The sequence below is a fragment of the Homo sapiens genome, chromosome 6 (genome assembly GCF_000001405.40).
Source record: "Homo sapiens chromosome 6, GRCh38.p14 Primary Assembly".
Classification (NCBI taxonomy): domain Eukaryota; kingdom Metazoa; phylum Chordata; class Mammalia; order Primates; family Hominidae; genus Homo; species Homo sapiens.
The window spans coordinates 7,213,023-7,233,670 of record NC_000006.12 but is presented as its reverse complement, the minus strand read 5'-3'; the positions used below and the strand labels follow the sequence as shown (position 1 = coordinate 7,233,670).

The following is a 20,648-nucleotide window of genomic DNA, read 5'->3' as shown; positions in this document are numbered from 1 at the left end:
TACCATATTTAGCGCAAAAAGAAAAACCCACAAAAAAAACCCAGGATGCCCAGAGCTAAATTTGAATTTTGGATAAACAAATAATTTTTTAGTAAATCCCAAGAACTACATAAAAATACTTATACTAAAAATTATTTGTTGTCTATCTGAAATTCAAGTTTAACTGGTGTTCTGTATTTTATTCACCAATCCAGTACCATTTGGTTTTAGGCCCTATCTATTTATTAATATTTTGGTTGTAAACTCCAAAAAGATAGGATCTCACTAATTTGCGCTTAGTTCAATAACACAAATCACTGAATACTGAGACTGTTCACTGAGAAAATTTAGAAAATTATAATTCAGATGAGAGTTGTATGGCCATTTATATACTAGAAGCACCTGATAACAAAATTATTTAAAGTATATTCCTATCCTAAACTTCTCTTTAAAAATCAGCTTCTAGAAACTAACATTTGAAAAATATTTTTGGGCAGGCCAGGTGCAGTGACTCACGCCTGTAATCCCAGCACTTTGAGAGGCCAAGGTGGGCAGATCACCTGAGGTCAGGAGTTTGAGACCAGTCTGGCCAACATGGTGAAACCCCATCTCTACTAAAAATACAAAAATTAGCTGGGCATGGTGGCGCATGCCTGTAATCTCAGCTACTTGGGAGGCTGAGGCAGGGAGAATTGCTTGAACCAGGGAGGCAGAGGTTGCAGTGAGCTGAGATCATACTACTCCACTCCAGCCTGGGTAACAGAGCGAGACTCCGTCTCAAAAAAAGAAAAATACTTTTGGGGCCAGGTGTGGGGGCTCATGCCTGTGATCCCAGCACTTTGGGAGGAAGAGGCAAGAAAACTGCTTGAGCCCAGAAGTTTGAGAGCAATATAGTGAGACTCTTTTATTTAAAAAAAAAAAAAAAAAAGAAAAAGAAAAAAGGAAGATACTTTTGGGGTATCACTTTGACAATTTAAGTTTGTTACTTAGAATTTTTTCACACTTGGGTGTGAGTTCTTGGGGATGGACAGGTTGATGGGCTCCATGGAGCAGTCGTAGGGGGCTAAGGAAGAAGGGCTCAGGAAGGAGTTGTTTTCCTGCTTCACCTGGACCAGCGCCAGGCCCTTCTGAGAGAAGTTTCTCAGAAAGGCTTACAATTGTAGTATAAACAGAAATTTTAAAACATTCTACCACCACTCATTGCTGATTTTCACAATCAACAGGGGAAGATGTGACTGCCTTAGTGAACTGAAAGAAAACAGCCAACCTCACAATTTGTCATATTTCTCTTTAAGAAGACATGGCATCCAAAAAAACTTCACAAAATTGTCAAAATTTAAAAAGCTGCATTGAGGACACTGGAATGGAATGTCAAAGCACCGAGCTCATTATGCCCCAATACCTTAATACAAAGTCTCACGTCTGTGGAGCCGCCTCCCTGTTTAACCCAGCAGATAATCTGGCTACCACCTCCGGAAGGGATGAGGCGACGCCATGAGTGATCTGAGGGCCTGTGACCACTTTCACCTCAAAACGCCCCGGATGAACACTTAGTAGAATGCTGCCCTTGGAGGGCTCGGCCCCTGCACAAAGGCCATGTGGGTACTGAGAGCACATAGGAAATACAGCACCACCAGACAAGCTCGGGGCTTCGGAGACCGGGGAAGAAGCCAAGCTAGGAATAACTGGAACTGTGGGAGATGGGTCTCGCTTTTGACCCCCACTCGTGGCTCCCCCTACCAGGAAGTAGGACTCACTGCCTGGGAGCCCGGTGGCCCTCTTACCAGTGTGTGTGAGCATGTGCCTCTGTAGGGAGCTGGCCCAAGGGAAAACCCGGGGACAGTGGGGACAGGTGATCTTCTGCAGGCAGTTGGTGTACGAGTTCCGCTTGGCCCTCAGCAGCTTGTCTTCTGGGGGACTGCCCTGCTCTTCATCACTGGGCCCATGGTGGTCGGCAGGGGCTCCGGCCACCTCATCCTGAGTGTTGTCCTCCGCTGTCTGCAGAAACGGACTGAACTTGTTGGTGTCTGTGGTGGCCAGCATCTTCTCGATGCTGGCAAACTCCCCGCTGGAGTCCAGGTCCACCCCGCCGCTGTTGGCGCGGGGTCGGCTCCTCATCCCCCTTTTCCGGCCCCTCTTCTTCGACGTGCCCGCTGGGCCCTGCTCGGTGGGAGAGGCAGCCTCTGGGCTGCTGGCTGGAGCGGGAGGCTCACTAGACTCTTTTGGGCTGGTGGTGGCAGCGGGGGTGGCGGTGGTGGCGGCTTTGGGGACAGAACCTCCTAAGCTGTCTGAAGCCGTGGTGTTACTGCCAGTGCTTGCGGGCCCTGGGTCCGCCACCTTGGTTTTCAGCAGGGTGGGGGCCGAGGATACAGATGAGATGATCTGGGCAATGGAGGCCAGCGGGGGCAGCTCTTCTGTCACGGGGGGCTTTGGCAAAAGCAGCGGGGGCTTGGGCCGCAGTGGACGCAGCAAGGCTGTGCCACTCAGGAGGGCTGAGCTGCCCACGAGTGGAGGGCTGCTGACCAGGGCTGAGGAGTAGATTGGGACCGCCAGCTGAACAGGGCCCTGCAGGGGCTGTGCTGGGGGTTCCGGGGTGGCCGCCGGAGCAGGGGCCATGGGGCTTTCCAGGATTCCGCTGGGCCCCAAAGTTACAGGAAGAGAAGGGCCGGGTGCTGGGCAGGGAGAGGGCTGCTCGCTGCTCCCCGCCTCCTCCTCAGGCTTCTTGGCTTCGCTGGGAGTGGCCAAATCCTTGTCCCCTTTCCTGAAGTTCTTGGGGATGGACAGGTCGATGGGCTCCATGGAGCAGTCATAGGGGACCAGGGAAGAAGGGCTCAGAAAGGAGATGTTTTCCTGCTTCACTTGGACCAGGGCCAGGCCCTTCTGCGAGAAGTCCAGGGGCTCATTGAAGTCCACCGCAAAGCTACTGGCGGGCTCCAACTTGATCGAGACATGGGGAGGTGGAGGCTGGGTGGGGCCCCTGTGAAGAAAGCCGTTCTGGGGTTCCAGGAAGGCAGTGAGGGGCTTGCAGTCACCAAGGGCAGCGCAGCCACTGTCCTCCCCGCGCCCCGACGCCTCAGCGGCCGGCGCCTCTGCGGGGCCCAGGCCGTCGGCGGCCAGCACGTAGCTCTCGATGTCCTGCTCGGGCACGTGCAGGTGCTGCTTGAGGATGTGGTGGATGCAGTTGCGCTTGGCCGCGAACGCGGCGCTGCACTCCTTGCACTCGAAGGGCTTGCGGCCCTTGTGGCCCCCGCCCAGGCCGCGGCCGCAGTGCGTGCGCATGTGGATGCGCAGGGCACGATAGTGCTTGAGGTCCTCGCCGCACAGCCGGCACACGGTGTCCGGGGCGCAGAAGGCGTCCACCAGCTCGGCCGCGCTGCTACTCACATACTCGATGTTCTTCTCGATATCCTTGCGGGTGGCCTTGAGGTGCTTCTTGCGCAGGTGCCGCTCGCAGTTGGCTTTGACAGTGAAGGGGTAGTGGCAGATCTTGCAAATGTAGGGCCGCTCCCCACTGTGCGTGCGCAGGTGGCGGATGAGCGCGGCCTTGTCGGCGGCGATGTAGTCGCAGATGTTGCACTGGTATGGCGAGATGCCCAGGTGGGAGCGCACGTGGGCACGCAAGACCCCCGAGAAGGCAAACACCTGGTTGCAGAAGCGGCAGGGGTAGAGCACCTTGCGCATGGCGGGCGTCTTCTTGCCGCCGGGCGCTGTCATGAAGGCCTTGAGTTCCCCCTCTGTGATCTCCTGCTTGATCTTGGCCTCCATGCTCAGCGGCAGCAGGGCCTCGATGATGCTGTCCTGCTCCAGCTGCGTCTTCATCTCAGGCTGGCCCGGCAGCTCCGCCCGCGGCTGCTGCAGGGAGAGCCGCGTGGCCGCGTGGGGCTGGGTCCCGGACTTGGACTGCAGCAGGTGGGCGTTGGAGGCCGCCTCCACTGAGCCTTTGAGGAGCTTCAGGGGCGGTGGCGGCAGGCTGGGGCTGATACAGCCCGGGGAAGCCTGCTGGGCGTTGATGAGAGGCGGGGGCGTGGAGGTGGCCACCACCGTCCGTGGTGTGACCAGGGGCTTTGGCTTCAGAGGGGGCATGTGCTTGAAGATCGCCTGCAGTGGGGCGGCAGGGGCCTTGGAGAAGGGCGGAAGACTGATCTGAGGGGGAGCCGAGGCTGCCATCTTCAGAATTTGCTGGATGTCTGCCAGCTCGATGGCCGACTCGCCAGAGATGGGCTTGACCACAATGCTGCTGTCAGGCTGGATGATGAAGCCCTTCTGGAAGGGCTGCAGGGACAGGTGCTTTATGCTGTCCTTGGTCGCGGGGAGAACTGTGAGAGAACCGCCTAGGGAAGCAGCTTCGAAAGGTGACAGGCTCAGCAGGTTGGTGCAGCCGGGGTCCTGAGGTAGCTGACACTTGAGTGTCTGGAGCTGAATTGCCTGGTTGTCATCCGGCAGGGGCTCCTCGGCGGGGGCAGGCCTGACGTCTTTGGTGTGCTGCAGGCCAAGCAAGGCCAGGAAGCCCTTCTGGTCCAGGGCGTCACCAGGCAGGGGCGTGGCCTGCGGCTTTTCTTGACCCTGGTCTGCCGCCACATGGGTCTGCTTGTGCAGAGCCAGTGAGCAGAGCATGGGGAACGCCTTGTCACAGGTGTCGCAGACAAAACGGTGTTGCTCGCTGATGCACCTCCGCAGGTTTGTTTCGCACCAGGCCTATATAGAACCCACCGGTAAAAGCAAGGGAACACATGTGAAGATTGAAAAAATAATCACTAAACGGAGATGCACAAAGTATTTGTTGTACATTTATCCCAGTACACAGCCTTTCCCCATAACATAAAGAGTTCCCAGCCTGGGCAATATAGCAAGATCCCGTATCTCTACAAAAAATAAAAAAAAATTAGCCAGGTGTGTTGGCTCATGCCTCTAGTCCCAGCTACTCCAGAGACTGAGGCGGGAGGATCACTTGAGGCCAGGAGTTTGTGACTAGCCTGGGCAACATAGCAAGACCTTGTCTCTATAAAAAAAAATAAGAAAATTAGCCAGATGTGGTGGTACATGCCTGTGTCCTAGCTATTGGGAGGCTAAGGCAGGAAAAGCACCTGAGCTTAAGGAGGTTGAGTCTGAAGTGACACATGATTATGCCACACTGCACTTTAGCCTGGGCAACAGAACAAGACTCTGCCTTAAAAAAAAAAAAAAAAAAAAAAAAAAGTTGACCTTCTCCTGCTTGCTAACACACTGGACTGAATAAGGAAATCCACAAAGCATCTTAAGAATCATGTTTGCGTGATAACTGATATCAACCCACAGGGTATCTCACTAGAGATTCTGAAGTATAGTTAAGTAACAATACCACAAGGGTAGAATTAATTCTCTTTGTAAAAGTGGGTGCCTTGCAAAACTGAGGTCCAGAGATGTTGGAGAATCAGCTACCCTACCCCTCTATGATTGTGGAAGGGGGATGCTGCCTAGGAGGGTCTATGAGGAATGTCTCCTGGGGGGTGCACACACATGGGTGTGTGTATATGGAACAATCCATTGAGTTTGTACCTTGTACACTTGAACAACAACACTGTTGATACCTTCTATCTCAACTTTTTAAAATGGGGAAAAAAATAATTTCAAGGCAGTTTTAGTTTTATTTATTTATTTTTGAGACTGAGTCTCGCTCTGTCACCCAGGCATGATCTGGGTTCACTGCGACCTCCACCTCCCGGGTTCAAGAGATTGTCATGCCTCAGCCTCCCCAGCAGCTGGGATTATAGGCATGTGCCACTATGCCCAGCTAATTTTTTATACTTTTAGTAGAGACGGGGTTTCACTGTGTTGGCCAGGCTGGTCTTGAACTCCTGGCCTCAAGTGTTCCACTTGCCTTGGCCTCCCAAAGTGCTGGAGTTACAGGTATGAGCCATTGTGCCCAGCCAGTTTCAAAGTAGTTTTAGCAGGTGCTTTATTAGCAGTGAATATATATGGCTCTTTTCTTATTCAGGTCAATAATGACCCAAATTGTTTTTAATAGAAACCACAACGCTGGAATATTTAGCTGCAATGCAGATAGTAAAGAAAGATTTTTTTTTAAAATCCCACGAATTCCGATTATCATAGGACTGGGGTGTTTTACAATTCACCACTTTTATTTTATTTAAAAAAAAAATTTTTTTTTTCTTAGACGGAGTCTCGCTCTGTTGCCCAGGCTGGAGTGCAGTGGCGCGATCTCGACTCACTGCAACCTCAGCCTCCCGGGTTCAAGCGATTCTTCTGCCTCAGCCTCCCGAGTAGCTGGGATTACAGGTGCATGCTACCACGCCTGGCTAATTTTTGTATTTTTAGTGTAGACAGGGTTTCACCATGTTGGTCAGGCTGGTCTTGAACTCCTGACCTCATGATCCGACTGCCTTGGCCTCCCAAAGTTCTGGGATTAGAGGCATGAGCCACCACGCCCGGCCCTAAAATTTTATTTTATTTTTGAGGCAATCTCTCTCTGCCACCCACGCTGGAGTGCAGTGGCACGATCATGGCTCAATGCAGCCTCAACCTCCTGGGCTCAAGTGATCCTCCCACCTCAGCCTCCCAAGTAGCTGGGACTACTAGGTGCACACCACCACGCCTGGCTAATTTTTAAATTTTTTGTAGAGATAAAGTCTTGCTGTGCTGTCCAGGCAGGTCTCAACCTCCTGACCTCAAATGATCTTCCTGCCTTGGCCTCACAAAGTGCTGGCGTTACAGGTGTGAGCCACTGGGGCCTGGTCTACAACTGACAACTTAAACCTCAAAGACCCAAGAACGGACAAAAGGCACAGAAGAGCTAGACTGATGCACAGTTCATAGGATATTCAACCCCAAACAAGCCTATGCAGCCTTCTCAACCCAACAACCCAAGGGAGACCGAAAGGGCCAACAATAATTTTAAGAAAAAAGGTGTTACAAAAAAAGACAAAGCCCAACCGACATTTTAAGGAAAGAAACCCTGAGGAGAGGAAGTTCCCATGGTCTAACTGTGTGGACCATGGAAGGCAGTTGCTGGTTGCTTCCATGGGCTGATCAGAATACCTGAGAAATGCGAGGAAACTTCCTACAGGAGAAGTCCGTGAATCCTAAGTCGTGGAAGCCAGCAGGAATTGAAGGGTTGTTCTGTATGAAAGGTCTGCCCATTGCATCCCTGGGAAGTTGTTTGTGGACAAGCGCGTTGTGACGCAGCAGTCCTCGATGTGTTCGAAAGGTGACACAACAAATGTCACATCTAGGAGAGGAAAGGGAGAACATATGAGGCAGAAAGGGAGAGCATATGAGGAAGCAGTTAAGTCAGAGTTTCCACTCTTCCAGACTTAAGTTTTTGTTGATTCATTTCAATTGAGTAAAATAAAAATGATATGATGTCAAGAAGCCAGGCTGCATGGTTAGCACCAAAAACCTCTTCCTTTTAAAAAAGTTGTATTCTATCAACTTCTGGATACCAAATCTTTGCAGGCAGCACAAGGTGTACGTACGACCTAAACACCCACAGTCTGAGCACAAGAAGACAGCTGGGATCCTGAAGCCACCATGGCCGACCTGCTCGCTCTCGCCTCGATCAGGCATTAATGGGATCATGTCAGAGGTTTCTCTCTCCCTGAGTTCACTGGATTCTAATTATTGTAAATGTTTAAAAGTCAGAAGAGCATACATTTAAGTAGTATCTAGGGCAATCAATCAGCATCCTTGGCATCTGATAGGGATAAAAATTATTAAATTTTCCAATCTAATTAGAAGTGATGGTGATTGTGCATTAAGTTGTGGTATTAGCATCATCATTATCTGAATGATAACCATGGTCCTCATGGACTGAGCCCAGGCGCCCTGACAGCTCAGCACATATGACAACCCCAGCAGGCAGGTGCGTATCATGACCCTCATCTTCCAGATGAACACCGGTGATCAAAAATACGAAGCGATGTGACTCAGGCCCCACAGCCAGTAAGAAGCACACACAAAATGTCAGCCTGAGTTCCTGCTCCCACCCATGCTTATCACAAGGCTGTCTCCCCTTCCTTGAAAGACTCCCACAGAGGCAGTCCACTTCAAAATCTGACCCTTCATTTCAGAGATGATCTTTGACATCCTAAATGTTCTGGGCCACACAGATGCATAGCAAACACCACTTTATAATATTGTCTCTGCTTTTCAGACCAGTATTGTCTTCTAGGTCTTCACTGAGAACCATATTAAAAATTTTACATCAGTGTGCAGATGGGTGGATAAAAACAAAATACCATCGTTATGGTATTATCAACATCCCCTAGACTTGCATGGAATGTAGTAGCCACCAAAGCCACATGTAGCTATTCAAATTTAAATTAAAGTTCCTCAGTCACTTCAGCCTTCTTTTAAGGGCTCAACTGCATCGGGAAGCACAGACACAGTATGTTTCCAAGATCACAGGATATTCTGTTGGACAATGCTGTATACCGAGCATCATTCCATGTATTTATGTGTGCAAGCGTATCTGACCCTCACCACCGCTAAGGTAGCTCCTTTTATCACTGTTTTAGCCAGGCAAAGCCACTTGCTTACGTCCACACTGCATGTACATCAGTGAAAACTTTTTTGAGTTGAGAGTCTTCTCTGGAAATAAAGAGATAACGAAGTCAGCCACGAAGCAGCTGTGCTCACTTTCAGGAAGCACTGAAAGGAAGAAGTGCCAGTATGTGCCGCCCTGCTTGCCTTATCGCGCTGTAGCGGGCACAGCAGAACCCGGTCCTGCTGTGCATGCTCCTCCCCTGGCTCCCCTGTTCAGGAAGGGCCTCTCCTGAGCACTCTCCTGTCACTGCTCAGCTACCTTTGGAACCCCAAACCCGGGTTCCCATGAGCCACTCAAAACACAGAGTTCCTTTTGAGGGAATTCTGCTGAGCTCACCACTGTGGTCAAGGCCCAGGGAAGGGACAGATCTGGATAATGAAGAACACCTTTAGGGGCTGGAAGTCCTCACACTGCGGGCCCAGATGTCAAAGTACCCAGCGGTCTAAATCACAGGCCATGAGACAGATCCTGCGGGGAAGCAGAATGGACACAGCCCCTCTGGGTGAGGTTCTTTCTGGCTGAAATACGTTCAAGCTCTGAGCTGTGCACACAGAGAGGACAGTGACCCTTGGAGGCAACAACAGCCTCTGTCCTGGAGATAGAGCTCCTTCCTTCTCCCACCCCCACTTCATTTCCCCCATGCTCAAGTTCAATTGCACCCTCCCCATGGTCGCCAATCCATCACCTCGCCACCACTTGGCTGAAAGATCTATATTGGACTGAAAGGATAAGAGATATGTCTGAATTGGGAAAATCTAACTCTGATCAGAGATATTTGATATATTCACAAGTGACTGAATTTTTTAGTTATGATAATATTTTGGCTATGCTTTTTAAAAAGGTTCCTTTTAAAAAAAGATATATAATGCAATATTTATAAATAAAACATAGGATATCTGGGATTTGTTTTGAAATTACCTGGGTTGGGGAAGAGAGAAAACAAAATTGGCTGTGAGTTGATAATCCCTGAAACTGGATAAGGGTACATCGAGTTTATTATACCAGAATTTTGCAAGCCAAACTAAAGCAGAATCCTAGATTTTTACGATTATGGCATTCAACTGTGCACAGGTATCTTACCTAGCCTAAATTTGACAGCAACTAAAAAAAAAATATTCTGTCCAATCTGCACTGTAACTAAGCCTTTCCAACATAAGTTTCCACAGAGACTATTCTTTTCTTTTATTAAAACAACATTCCATCAGCTTATATAAAATTTAATTAAATTATAAGAAATTATTACAAGTATTACAGACATAAACAGGTTGGGAAGAGACTTTTCGTAGCATACAAGTCAACTGCAAAAGGCAGGCAGGTAGGACTGAGAGGTGGCTGCAAACTTTCTGAAATGTGTACCGCTTCTATAAAAAAGTTTTCGTATGTGCTCCACATGTGTTTGTTGTTTAGCTGAGAATGTGTATGTGTGTACGTAGGTAGTATATGTATTTATGTACATATGTATTTGCATATATGTAATGTGCCAGGCACATTACCAAATAGACATTTTAAAAGGGTGAGATAAAAAATATATTTTTTTCCTTGTATCCTAGAGATCTTCCTGAATACTCTTCACCTTTTTTTTTTTTTTGAGACAAGAGTTTTGTTTTGTTGCCCAGGCTGGAGTGCAATGGCGCAATCTTGGTTCACCGCAACCTCTGCTTCCCCGGTTCAAGTGATTCTCCCGCTTCAGCCTCCTGAGTAGCTAGGATTACAGGCATGCGCCACCACGCCCAGCTAATTTTTGTGTTTTAGTAGAGACGGGGTTTCTCCATGTTGGCCAGGCTGGCCTTGAACTCCTGACCTCAGCTGATCTGCCCGCCTCGGCCTCCCAAACTGCTGGGATTACAGGCGTGAGCCATCGTGCCCGGCCTTTTTTTTTTTTTTTTTTTTTTAAAAAGAGAGTCTTGCTCTGTCGCCCAGGCTGCAGTGCAGTGGCATGATCATAGCTCATTGCAGCCTTGAACTCCTGGGCGCAAGTGATCCTCCCACCTCAGCCTCCCTTCATAGCTGGGACTATAGGCATGTGCCACTATGCCTGGCTAATTTTTAAAATTTTTTGTAGAGACATGGTGTCACCATGTTGCCTAGGCTGGTCTCGAACTCCTGGGCTCAAGCAATGCTCCTGAATTGGCCTCCCAAAGTGTTGGGATTACAGGTGTGAGCCACTGTGCTTGGCTACTCTCCACTTTTGAGACTTCTGTACTAGTGCACAGCCTATTGGTTATGAATATTTAGTGTGACTGGCATTAATAAGTAGGTTTTATGAAGGGAATGGAGAATGAATGCCTCTTAATATGGCAATTAGATTTAGAATTTACTGCACCTCTATGGTTGTAGTGATTTTTTTTTCTTTTTTGAGGCAGGCTCGCTATGTTGCCCAGACTGGCCTTGAACTCTTGGGCTCAAGCAATCCTCCCGTCTCAGCCTCCCTAGTAACTAGGGCTACAGGTGTGCACCCCTACACCTGGCTTGAATTTTTAATAACATTGAGGTTTCTTTTTGTCTCTTATGCCTGTGTCTGTCTTCTTCATTCTCTCCCTCACCCTTAAATCCCTCCTGTTTCTGGACACCTTCATACGTAGTAGGTGATGAAGGCATGACAATAAAGACGTGGCAGAATTATTCAGTATTGATCACAAACTCTGTGTCCCTGGGAAGGCAGCTGTGGAACAGTGGGTGGTAGGGGGATGTGGGCTCAGGGACCAGAGACACCAGGTGGGGATCAGGGAGTTCAGATTGCGTGACCTTGGACAACTTATTTCCATGTGCACTTCAGCTGCCGGCTATGTAAAATTTCCCAAACATGCCAAGAGATAAGAATCCCCACATGACCTTGTTAAAAAAAGCAGACTCCTAGATCACCCCAGACCAACTGAAATCAGAATAACTAGAAGATGGGCCTAAGAATCTGTATATGAACAAGCACACCAGCGGATTCTTATAGTTAGATAAGTTTGGAAAATATAGTGAGTTAGGTGTGAGAATCTGCTATCTAGAAACGTCTTAAACTACAAGCCTGTTAGAATGTTAGAACTCCCAGAGAAAAGAAATTACCAATACTTTACTCATCTTTGTCACTTCTCTCCTGTTCCTTTCCTTCTTCACACCTCAGTTTCCCTTCTCATCTAAAACGGGGGGATCTCTGCAGTTACTGTGAATAACAAAGTGCTTTGAAAACTGCAAAGTACTTTTCCAAATTTAGTCATTATGTTATTGTACTAGGGAAAAAAAGAAATCAGGAAAAGCCCGTTTCCTGGCACGTTTTAGCTAACGTGAAAAATCAGGAAAACCTGAGTTTTAATTTCAAAGGAACATGTTCTCTCTTCTCACTTTCAAGAACTTCACAATCGTCCTTACTACTTCTGTCTAACTGCAAAACTCATGGGGAGAAAAGTGTTCTTTCTGGCCAGTCTTCTGCCTCATCCCACCTGCTCCCTTCACCTGCCTCCTGAAAAGAAGTGCATGCTCTCCCAGCCTGCACAAGCACTCAACCTCCTAACAGAGTCTAAGCAAGGTGATCCACACTTCACACCCTTTTCATGGAATTTCAACTAAGGCACTCCTATAAGTCAAAAGACATAAAACATGAAAGTGGCAGAGAAGAAATTTCTGCTTTGAAACCAGAAGCATGTGGTGCAGCTGGTTAAAAGGAAGAAACACCCACAGAAAAACACTTGCGGCCGGGCGCGGTGGCTCACGCCTGTAATCCCAGCACTTTGGGAGGCCGAGGCGGGTGGATCATGAGGTCAGGAGATCGAGACCATCCTGGCTAACAAGGTGAAACCCCGTCTCTACTAAAAAAAAATACAAAAAATTAGCCGGGCGCAGTGGCGGGCGCCTGTAGTCCCAGCTACTCGGGAGGCTGAGGCAGGAGAATGGCGTGAACCCGGGAAGCGGAGCTTGCAGTGAGCCGAGATTGCGCCACTGCAGTCCGCAGTCCGGCCTGGGCGACAGAGCGAGACTCCGTCTCAAAAAAAAAAAAAGAAAAACACTTGCCTCCCTGCCTCACACTCAGCACCTGTTGATAGACCTTAAATAAAACCAGTGTGGAAAACCACCACCCAGAAACACTTGGATCAGCCCTATCAGGTGGAGACGCGAGGGTTCATCCAGCCTTCCCAAGGCCCCAAGGAGAAAGCTTTGCAACCTTGTTTCTAAGCAGCTCTTCAAGGACAATAGAGGCCACTGTAAATCTGTGGAGGGAGCTGCTGGATGCAAAGCCGGCTGCAGGCATCAGGGTATTTGCAAACCTCCTTTGGGCTTGTCAATCTCCATTAAGACCACAGCCACTGGCCAGGTGGTCCCCACGACTCTCTCCTCAACCCGTCTGTGGCGTATCTCCACTCTGCCAGGGGCTCATAAAGAGCACGATTGCAAAATATTAATATTTAGATGGGGCAGAACTGCACTTAGAGCCACAGGAGAGGGGAGGGCTGTAGGACAATTTCGTTTTGCAAGAGATCTTGACAATGTGCCAGAGGAAAGGTTTACAAATCGGATTGGCTGCCTTTTGATTTTCTGGCAACAGAGATAACTCGATGTTGGAAACAGGATAACTTTTCCAAATGGAAACTAACTTTGCTGTCAGTAAAGTAAATGTATTTGGGGGAAGTGTATCTCTTTGTAGAATTTAAAGAAAATTAACAAAACCCCACTGACCCTTTCAAAAACAAAACTTTCTTTTTCTTTTAAAATCACACTACATTACTTTTAGGAAGAAAAAAAAAATCATCAGTGGAAAAATCTCCAAATGACAGATTAAGGTTAGATTACACACGGAATCCAAAATGGACATTCAGCCTGACCTCAACTTACAGGAGCTGCTTAGCATATGTGAACTCCAAATCACTGCTCACAGAAATAAGTGTTTCTGTACCAAGACAGTGCACAAGAGCCTGTTTCACCCAGAAAACACCTGCATTCTAGCACACGTTGGCCAGTGTTTCTGTAAGAGGATAAGAAACTTTAGAGTGCTGGAGTAGATTGGACCATTCCCCACCCCCTGTATGACACGCCAGTCGCTGAACTGTGGGTCCTGCCTCCAGTGGGGCTGCTCCACTGTGGAGGTTCCTATTATGGGGTGGAGGGGCTCTAGCAGTTCTCAGGGTAGATGGTAGGAGGGGGCTGTGGTGTTGGGGTGTGTGGAATTGGGGCTCCCTGGAACAGCAGAGGTGAAGCAGCTGCCTGCACTTATCCTCCATCCCTTCCTTCCTCCCTTAGTATCAACTGTAATGTCCCTGGCGGCACTGGGTAGGGTGAAGTAGAGAGAAGGGCTGGGGGTCCCAGTGGAGGAAGACGACTCCCAGGTCATAAGGTAAGCTCTTTCTACATGGCCCCTGGTATGTAAAGGCACAGATGGCAGGAAGGTGGCTGCCAACACCAGGGGCCGGGAACCACGATCACAGAGAGTCTCTGATATGTGCTTAGAGAAGTGCCTGTGGTTGTCAGTGACTACACAGGCACTGTCACAGCCCTTACTGTCCCTTTTCCAAAAATCAAACAGACAAGCCAAATCCCACAGCATACTGGCTCTGACCCTTGCTGGGCTGGAAAGGGCACAGCGCTAACATGGTCAGAGAAGTCTGACTCCCACACGAGCTGGTGAACTCCACGCTGTCCTGAAGTCACAGAGACCCAACCCGCCAGCCACTGCCTGACCACGTGCCTGAGTCACCAAAGGCAGGAGGTACATAGGGCGAGGGGTGGGACCAACCAGCTCCAACAGGTCAAGAAAATACACTCAGTTGCTAGCTGGGGTTTTGTCCTTTCAATCCTCAAGGGACTTTAATACAACAAATAATGTTCTTATTCACACTCAGATTCACTAAGTCTTAAGAAAACAAAAGTAAATTAAAATTTTATTTTATTTTTATTATTTTAGAAACAGCGTCTCACTCGGTCAGCCAGGAGGGAGTGCAGTGGTGCGATCTCAGCTCACTGCAACCTCTACTTCCCGGATTCATGCGATTCTCATGCCTCAGCCTCCCCAGTAGCTGGGATTACAGGCCTGAGACACCGTGCCTGGCTTTTTTTTTTTTTTTTTTTTTTTTTTTTTTTGTATTTTAGTAGAGATGGAGTTTCGCCGTGTTGGCCAGACGGGTCTCCAACTCCTCACCTCAAGCGATCCCCTTGCTTCGGCCTCCCAAAGTACTGAGATTACAGACATGAGCCACCGTGAGGCCCTAAAATTTTAAAAAGCATTGAATTAATGGCTGTCTGTGCTACACAGTCTGCCTATTTAGGCAGGGCACAGATATCTGTTCTTCTGACAGCAAATGTCCTTGGAAGAAGACAGGATATCCTTTTTTTTTTTTTTTTTTTTTTAAAGAAAGTTGCACAATTCTGAGCTGGGATAGAAATGCAGTGTGATAAATATGTAAATATGTTGTTATGGTATGGACATTCTCTAGAGGGAGTAATGGTAAAGAGGCAGCCAAAAATAGATCCAGCAGTTTTGATACCTCACAGCAGAGTTAAGGTACTTATCAGGAATAACTATCACTGTTAAAAGCATCAGCCCTGAAAAGGGAATCTGCAATCTGTAGCCAGTAACTGAGCCTAGTACCTAAAATGGGCAGGGTGCATGCCCAAAGGCAAATTTATCAGCAATGTGATTTACAGAAATGGAAAACAAGGACACCAAAAGTCTCTTTTTTTTTTTTAACTTCTTAACCTTGTGGCTAAACAGTTTTGGGATTAGCTCCCCCAGTGCTCACTAACAGTAGTATTTTATTCATCTGGCGACCTTAACTCTCCAGAATAAGATGAAAATCCCAAAGTCAACAAACAGGCCTTAACAGAGTGGCCCAGAGATGAGAAACCACTCAGGTGCTTCCTTGGGCTCTCTTCTCTGTCATGTAACTCCATCAAGTCTACCATTGTGACAGCTGAGGGACAGATATCTGACCTCCTCACAATCAGCAAGAAGGGTGAATTTTCTTTTTTTTAAACTATGCTAAGCATATTTTTGAAAGGCTGCATTGGCAAATTTCAAACATCAGGAAACTCACTTCCTTAGAACCCTAGGGTTCCCCCAACAATCTAAAGAAAGTGATGTGTTGTTCTGTTACATAAAGGTGTCGAGTTCCTTCACGTTTCTAAATATCTGCTTTTCACACAGTGGGATTAAGAAACGTGGGAAGCAAGACTCAAACCAAATTTAAAGAGCCACTCCATTTCCCAATCTTTACAAAAGCGAAAACTAGATAAAAACAGCTGTTTATAAGAGTAAAGGACAAATTGCTTTCATGTTCTCTGCCAAGTGAATCGCACCTGGAAGTTGACTCCTTTTCAATTCCATTGGAATGGGATAGCCATAGAGTGCCACAACACCTATAACTGTAAATGTTGGAAGGTTTAAAATATCTAAAAATTTTAATTTTATATAAAATTTTATATAAAAAATACATTCTAAATAATAGTATCAGAAGAAAAATTTCATTTAGTATTTGTTACACTCTGAGGATTGTGGATTATCTCCCTTCATCCTCACAACAGCCTTCAAATCTATTTTCCAGATAGGGAAACCAAGTCAGCACTTGCCCGAGGTCACAGAGCTGCCAGGCGGCAGGCTGGGACGGAGCCGGCTGGCTTCGTTCCACTCTGCCAGGCTGTGCGTTCAGAGGACAGCTATTTGCAGATGCCCTGGCTCCTTATGTGACCCACACATCCTTAATGCCTGGACGCTGGCTCAGCTGGGAGCATTTCCTAATGCTGACACTCCCTGCTCCCTGCAACCCTCATCAGAAGAACCTGCGAAATACCTGCCGAGAAGCTGCCACTCAGCTTGACCATTTCCTTCAGATACTGAATTCCTTCCTCATTATTGTGTTTTAATGGAGAGACTGGCATTCCTTCTCAAAAGGGATTTCATGCTTCATTTTTCCTGTTCTGTCTCCAGAGGCCAGAAGGAGTAAGTGCAAACAACCTCTCCTCTAGAGTCCCAACCAACTCACACATTCTTCTCTCCTCAGCCCACCCTCCCCTGCCCATCTCGGGGCAGAGAACTGACATCCGACAGCTGCACTAATCTCTCCCAGTTGCTGCGAGCAACAGTGATGGCCCTGTGACAGGGCCCTGGCCAGGCAGCCGTCCCTCCCCATGACCCAGGAACCCGCCCAGGCTGCACACAGCAACCCAATGCCCCGCTCTGACTGTTCAACCAAACCAGCGTGGCGTGAAGCACTGGGCAGAGTCTGAGGGACTTCACAAAGGGTGTGTAGTGGCTACCGAAGCTGGGTGGGCCACTCCTTGCTCTGGGCCTTGGGTGGGGGACAGGGTAGTCCTGACCAAGGCTTCTGTACCTGTCAGGTGAGGGGTGGGGGCAGTCTTCCCCTCCTTGAGGGACCTCTGTTCATAGCCCCCGGAAGTGTTTAAAATCTGTTTCTGCCTGCCCAAGCCTCAGACTCACAGACTCTTCAACAGAAGATGCTGACAAATATTTTATCTTTTCCCTGTTTTTAGGATGACATTTGACAAGGGTGGGATCAATCCCGGGTACATGAGGAGTCTTGGGGTCTCTGTAGGTGGTAGGCGTGTGGTGAAGGGAGATAAACATTCCTTGGAACAGTGGAGAATGCAGGAAAAAGAAGGCATTTCCCTTTGGTGGCCCCACTACTAAGATACAGGAAGGGGGTGGTCTCAGCTGCCCTCACTACTCATGGAGCCGAGGTTCCTGTCAGAGCCCCCTTGGGCTCCCTATGTACCAATTCCCAACAGAGATTTAATGTCATCACCTTGAACTCAGAGATGACCAGGGTCAATGAAGTACCAGACCCGGTTGGGCCCTGACCCAGAGGAAATTAAGTGAAGCACCACAGCCTCTGATGTAAAATCCCAAGGAGAAGTTTTGCATCCACCAGATCCCTCTGCCTGCCTGGAATCTGAGGGAAATGTGCCCTCCTGGGCCCTGAACTCACCCCTGAACTTTGTTTTATAACCAACCAGCTTGTTTTGTGCCTAGCCCGTACCCTGTCTCAAACATCACTCTTTCCTTCAAGCCTGGGCAAGTGCCTGGCACACAGTACAAACTCAATCATTTGCTGGGTACATTTTAACTGAAATGATGTTAACGTTACTTATTACCCGAACTCCTTTCATCAGGGGGCCATCTAAGATTACACAATAACTTTGGCCGAGTTTCACCCTCAGCAGTGGCTGTGCCAACAGGGTGACCATCCAGCTGCCGCCCTTGGGCCTTCTTCACACACAAGACATGGCTCCGCGTCAAAGCTGCAGCCCTCCCTGCCGTAGGTGGCTCATCTGAAACCTCTCTGTGGGCTGTTAAGCACCTGAAATGTGGCTGGTGTGGTGCAGCCAAGACGGGCTGGGGTCACGTCACACACACCAGATTTCAAAGAGTCAGTACATGGAAGCAAGAATGTGAACCACATCACTCACCATTTTTCTATTGATTATGTGTTGACATTATATTTTGATGATACTGGTATACTCGATGAAGCATTATTCATTTTGTCTCTTTCTTTTTACTTTTTAAAACATGACTACTAGGGCCAGGCAGGGTGGCTCACGCCTACAATCCCAGCACTTTGGGAGGCTAAGGTGGGCAGATCACTTGAGCCCAGGAGTTCAAGACCAGCCTGGGCAACAAAGGGAGACTCTGTCTCTGCAAAATATACAAAAAAATTAGCTGCATGTGACGGCACATGCCTGTGGTTCCAGCTACTTGGGAGGCTGAGGTGGAAGGGTCACTTAAAAGCCTGGGAGGTCAAGGTGCAGTGAGTCATAATCATGTCACTGGACACCAGCCTGGGTGACAGAACGAGATCCTCAAAATGAAATGAAATGAAATAAAAAACGGCTACTAGAAAATTCCAAGGACGTGCGTGGCCCAGATTCTCTTGCTGGCCGGGCTGACCTGGATGCTTCTCCCAGCTGACTTCATTCACAGCAGGGTATGGCCAGTTGCTCAGTTCTATTCTGATGGACATTCAATGCCCAGCAACATCCTCACACAAAGGATGTCCTCTGTGTAGCCGCCTGCTCTCTTGAACACTCCGTCCCTCACCTCCGATTCCAAACGCCAGCTCGCCATAGCCTGACTCCGCTTCCTCCTCTGCCTTCTCTCCCTCATCTGGGGAGCCCTGGGGGAAGGGGGATGACTGACCATTGGTCATGTCAGGGTGAAGCTAACACCTGATCCTAAGAGCTGGCATCTCTACAGGCAGCTTTGTGTCTTCCTTTTGTTCTACGACAACACTTCATTCATTTGAAACACAGTGGAGTGGAGGGAAATGGAGTTGAGATTTATATGAGTTTGGATTTCCAACACTTTTTATTAAGGAACAATGGGCACCTTGCCAGTGTTGGTGGGGAGTGGAGAAGGGGGATAAGTGCAGGAGAGTGAGAAGGCAACAGCTGTTTTGAGTTACAAACCTTCAGTCTAAGCGGGTAGCATCCCACTGTGGTTCTGCTGCCTCTGGGATTTGAAATGGAGCTGGTGTCTATTTTAGTTCTGGGTTAACAAGCTGTCTCTCCCACTAGCTACTGTCCCAGTTCACCGCCTGGCTAGGCCCCGCTGGCGCAGGCTGCCCCAGGCCTCCTATGATAGCAGCCTATTATGGGGATCGGCAGAGCAGAGAGGAGCAAAGGGACATTAACCATGTTCTGTAATCAACTCTTTTTGGTTTCCAGATGCCAGCCCCACCCCATCTAGCAACAATTATAGATAGAGGCACAGGGCAGGGGTGGCCTGTGTGCCCCCACAAAGGATGCCTGGCAACTCTCTTCTTACGGGCCACCCCTCAGCCACAGCTGTGGGGCCAGCGAAGTGAGAGCCTGCCCAGAGGGGCCAAGTCCCTGTCAGGTTACAAAATTGTTAAGCCAACCCCTCACCAAACACAGGGCATTATTAGTAAACAGGTGAGGAAAATCCTCTAGGTCGGCTAGCTGGACGTGCAGGACTGAGGGTTCAACTTCACAGCCTGTCTACAGCACCAGCCCTACCATCACTGTGGATTAATCACCCACCAAATCCTACCCATCCCAACTATGAAAAAAATGACGAGCGTCCAGTGCAATGCCCATCTCCAACCTCTGTGCAGAGGAAGCCTGGCCTCTCCCTGGAGCAGGTCCTTGTTCAGAGGATTGCTCCAGGAGAACCTCGTCCCTCACCCAGGTCAGCATTTCAGAAGGAGACACCTGATCTGCCTCTATCGCTGCCACACACCATGCTATGCAGGCTTGGACTGCTCAGAAATCTCTTGTGGGAGCCACATTATTTTTCCTGCAGAACAGAATTATCTAGAAGGGGGTAAATAATAGTTTCTAAGGTGGTATCTGATCACAGAATAAAATATGAAGTGAGATGAAGTATACAGACGGGCTCAGAGACAGCCTGTATTCACTGCAGCACTGGCTCTGAAGGCTGCTGGGTAGGAACGTGAGCAGGAGCTGGGGTCCCCTGTGCTGTTTCTGCCTCTGCTCATGATTCTCTTTGGGAGGTTCAGCTGGTAATGTCATCTCTGCTCACTCAGGTCCTTGATCTAGAGAACTATTTCAGTATTTGCCACCCACCACAAGCCCACATCCTGGGGATGCTGTGAACATTCCTGAACCTGTGAAGTTTCCCAAATCTCTCAGAACTAGAGGGCCTACACAGGGAGGGGCCATATGCCTTTTCCTGGTAGACAGAATAAAACAACTGTTAAGAGGCAGGCTTTGGGGCTGAGCATGGTGGTTCATGCCTATAATCCCAGCACTTTAGGAGGCCAAGATGGGGCAGATCACCAGAGGTCAGGAGTTTGAGACAAGCCTGGCCAAAATGGTGAAACCCCATCTCTACCAAAAACACAAAAAATTAGCCAGGTGTGGTGGTACACACCTGTAATCCCAGCTACTCGGGAGGCTGAGGCAGGAGAATCACTTGAACCCAGGAGGCAGAGGTTGCAGTGAGCCAAGATTGCGCCAGTGTACTCCAGCCTGGGTGACAAAGCAAAACTTTTCTCAAAAAAACCCAAAAATAAATAAATAAATAAAAATAAGGTTTTAGGAACACAAGGATTATCTGGTCCTGCCCTCCTTCAATTTGAAGGATGAGAAAACAGGTTCAGATGTAGCTGGCTGAGGTCCTGTATGAGCAGAGGGAGGAGTGGGGTCTAGGCCTGAC

At 48.6% G+C, this 20,648-nt stretch overlaps 1 protein-coding gene across 4 annotated transcripts in view; it reads right to left on the bottom strand.

The window, feature by feature from the left end:
- The window catches only part of RREB1 (ras responsive element binding protein 1), a 144,238-nt gene that overhangs the window by 18,310 nt on the left and 105,280 nt on the right, over positions 1–20,648 (bottom strand). For all 4 annotated transcript variants that reach the window (NM_001168344.2, NM_001003699.4, NM_001003700.2 and 1 more), the window contains exons 9-10: positions 7,015–7,204; positions 1,764–4,674 (exon numbers count right to left, since the gene is read on the bottom strand). In NM_001168344.2, the coding sequence (NP_001161816.1) occupies positions 1,764–4,674; positions 7,015–7,204 (3,101 nt within the window). The remainder of the gene's footprint in view (positions 1–1,763; positions 4,675–7,014; positions 7,205–20,648) is intronic.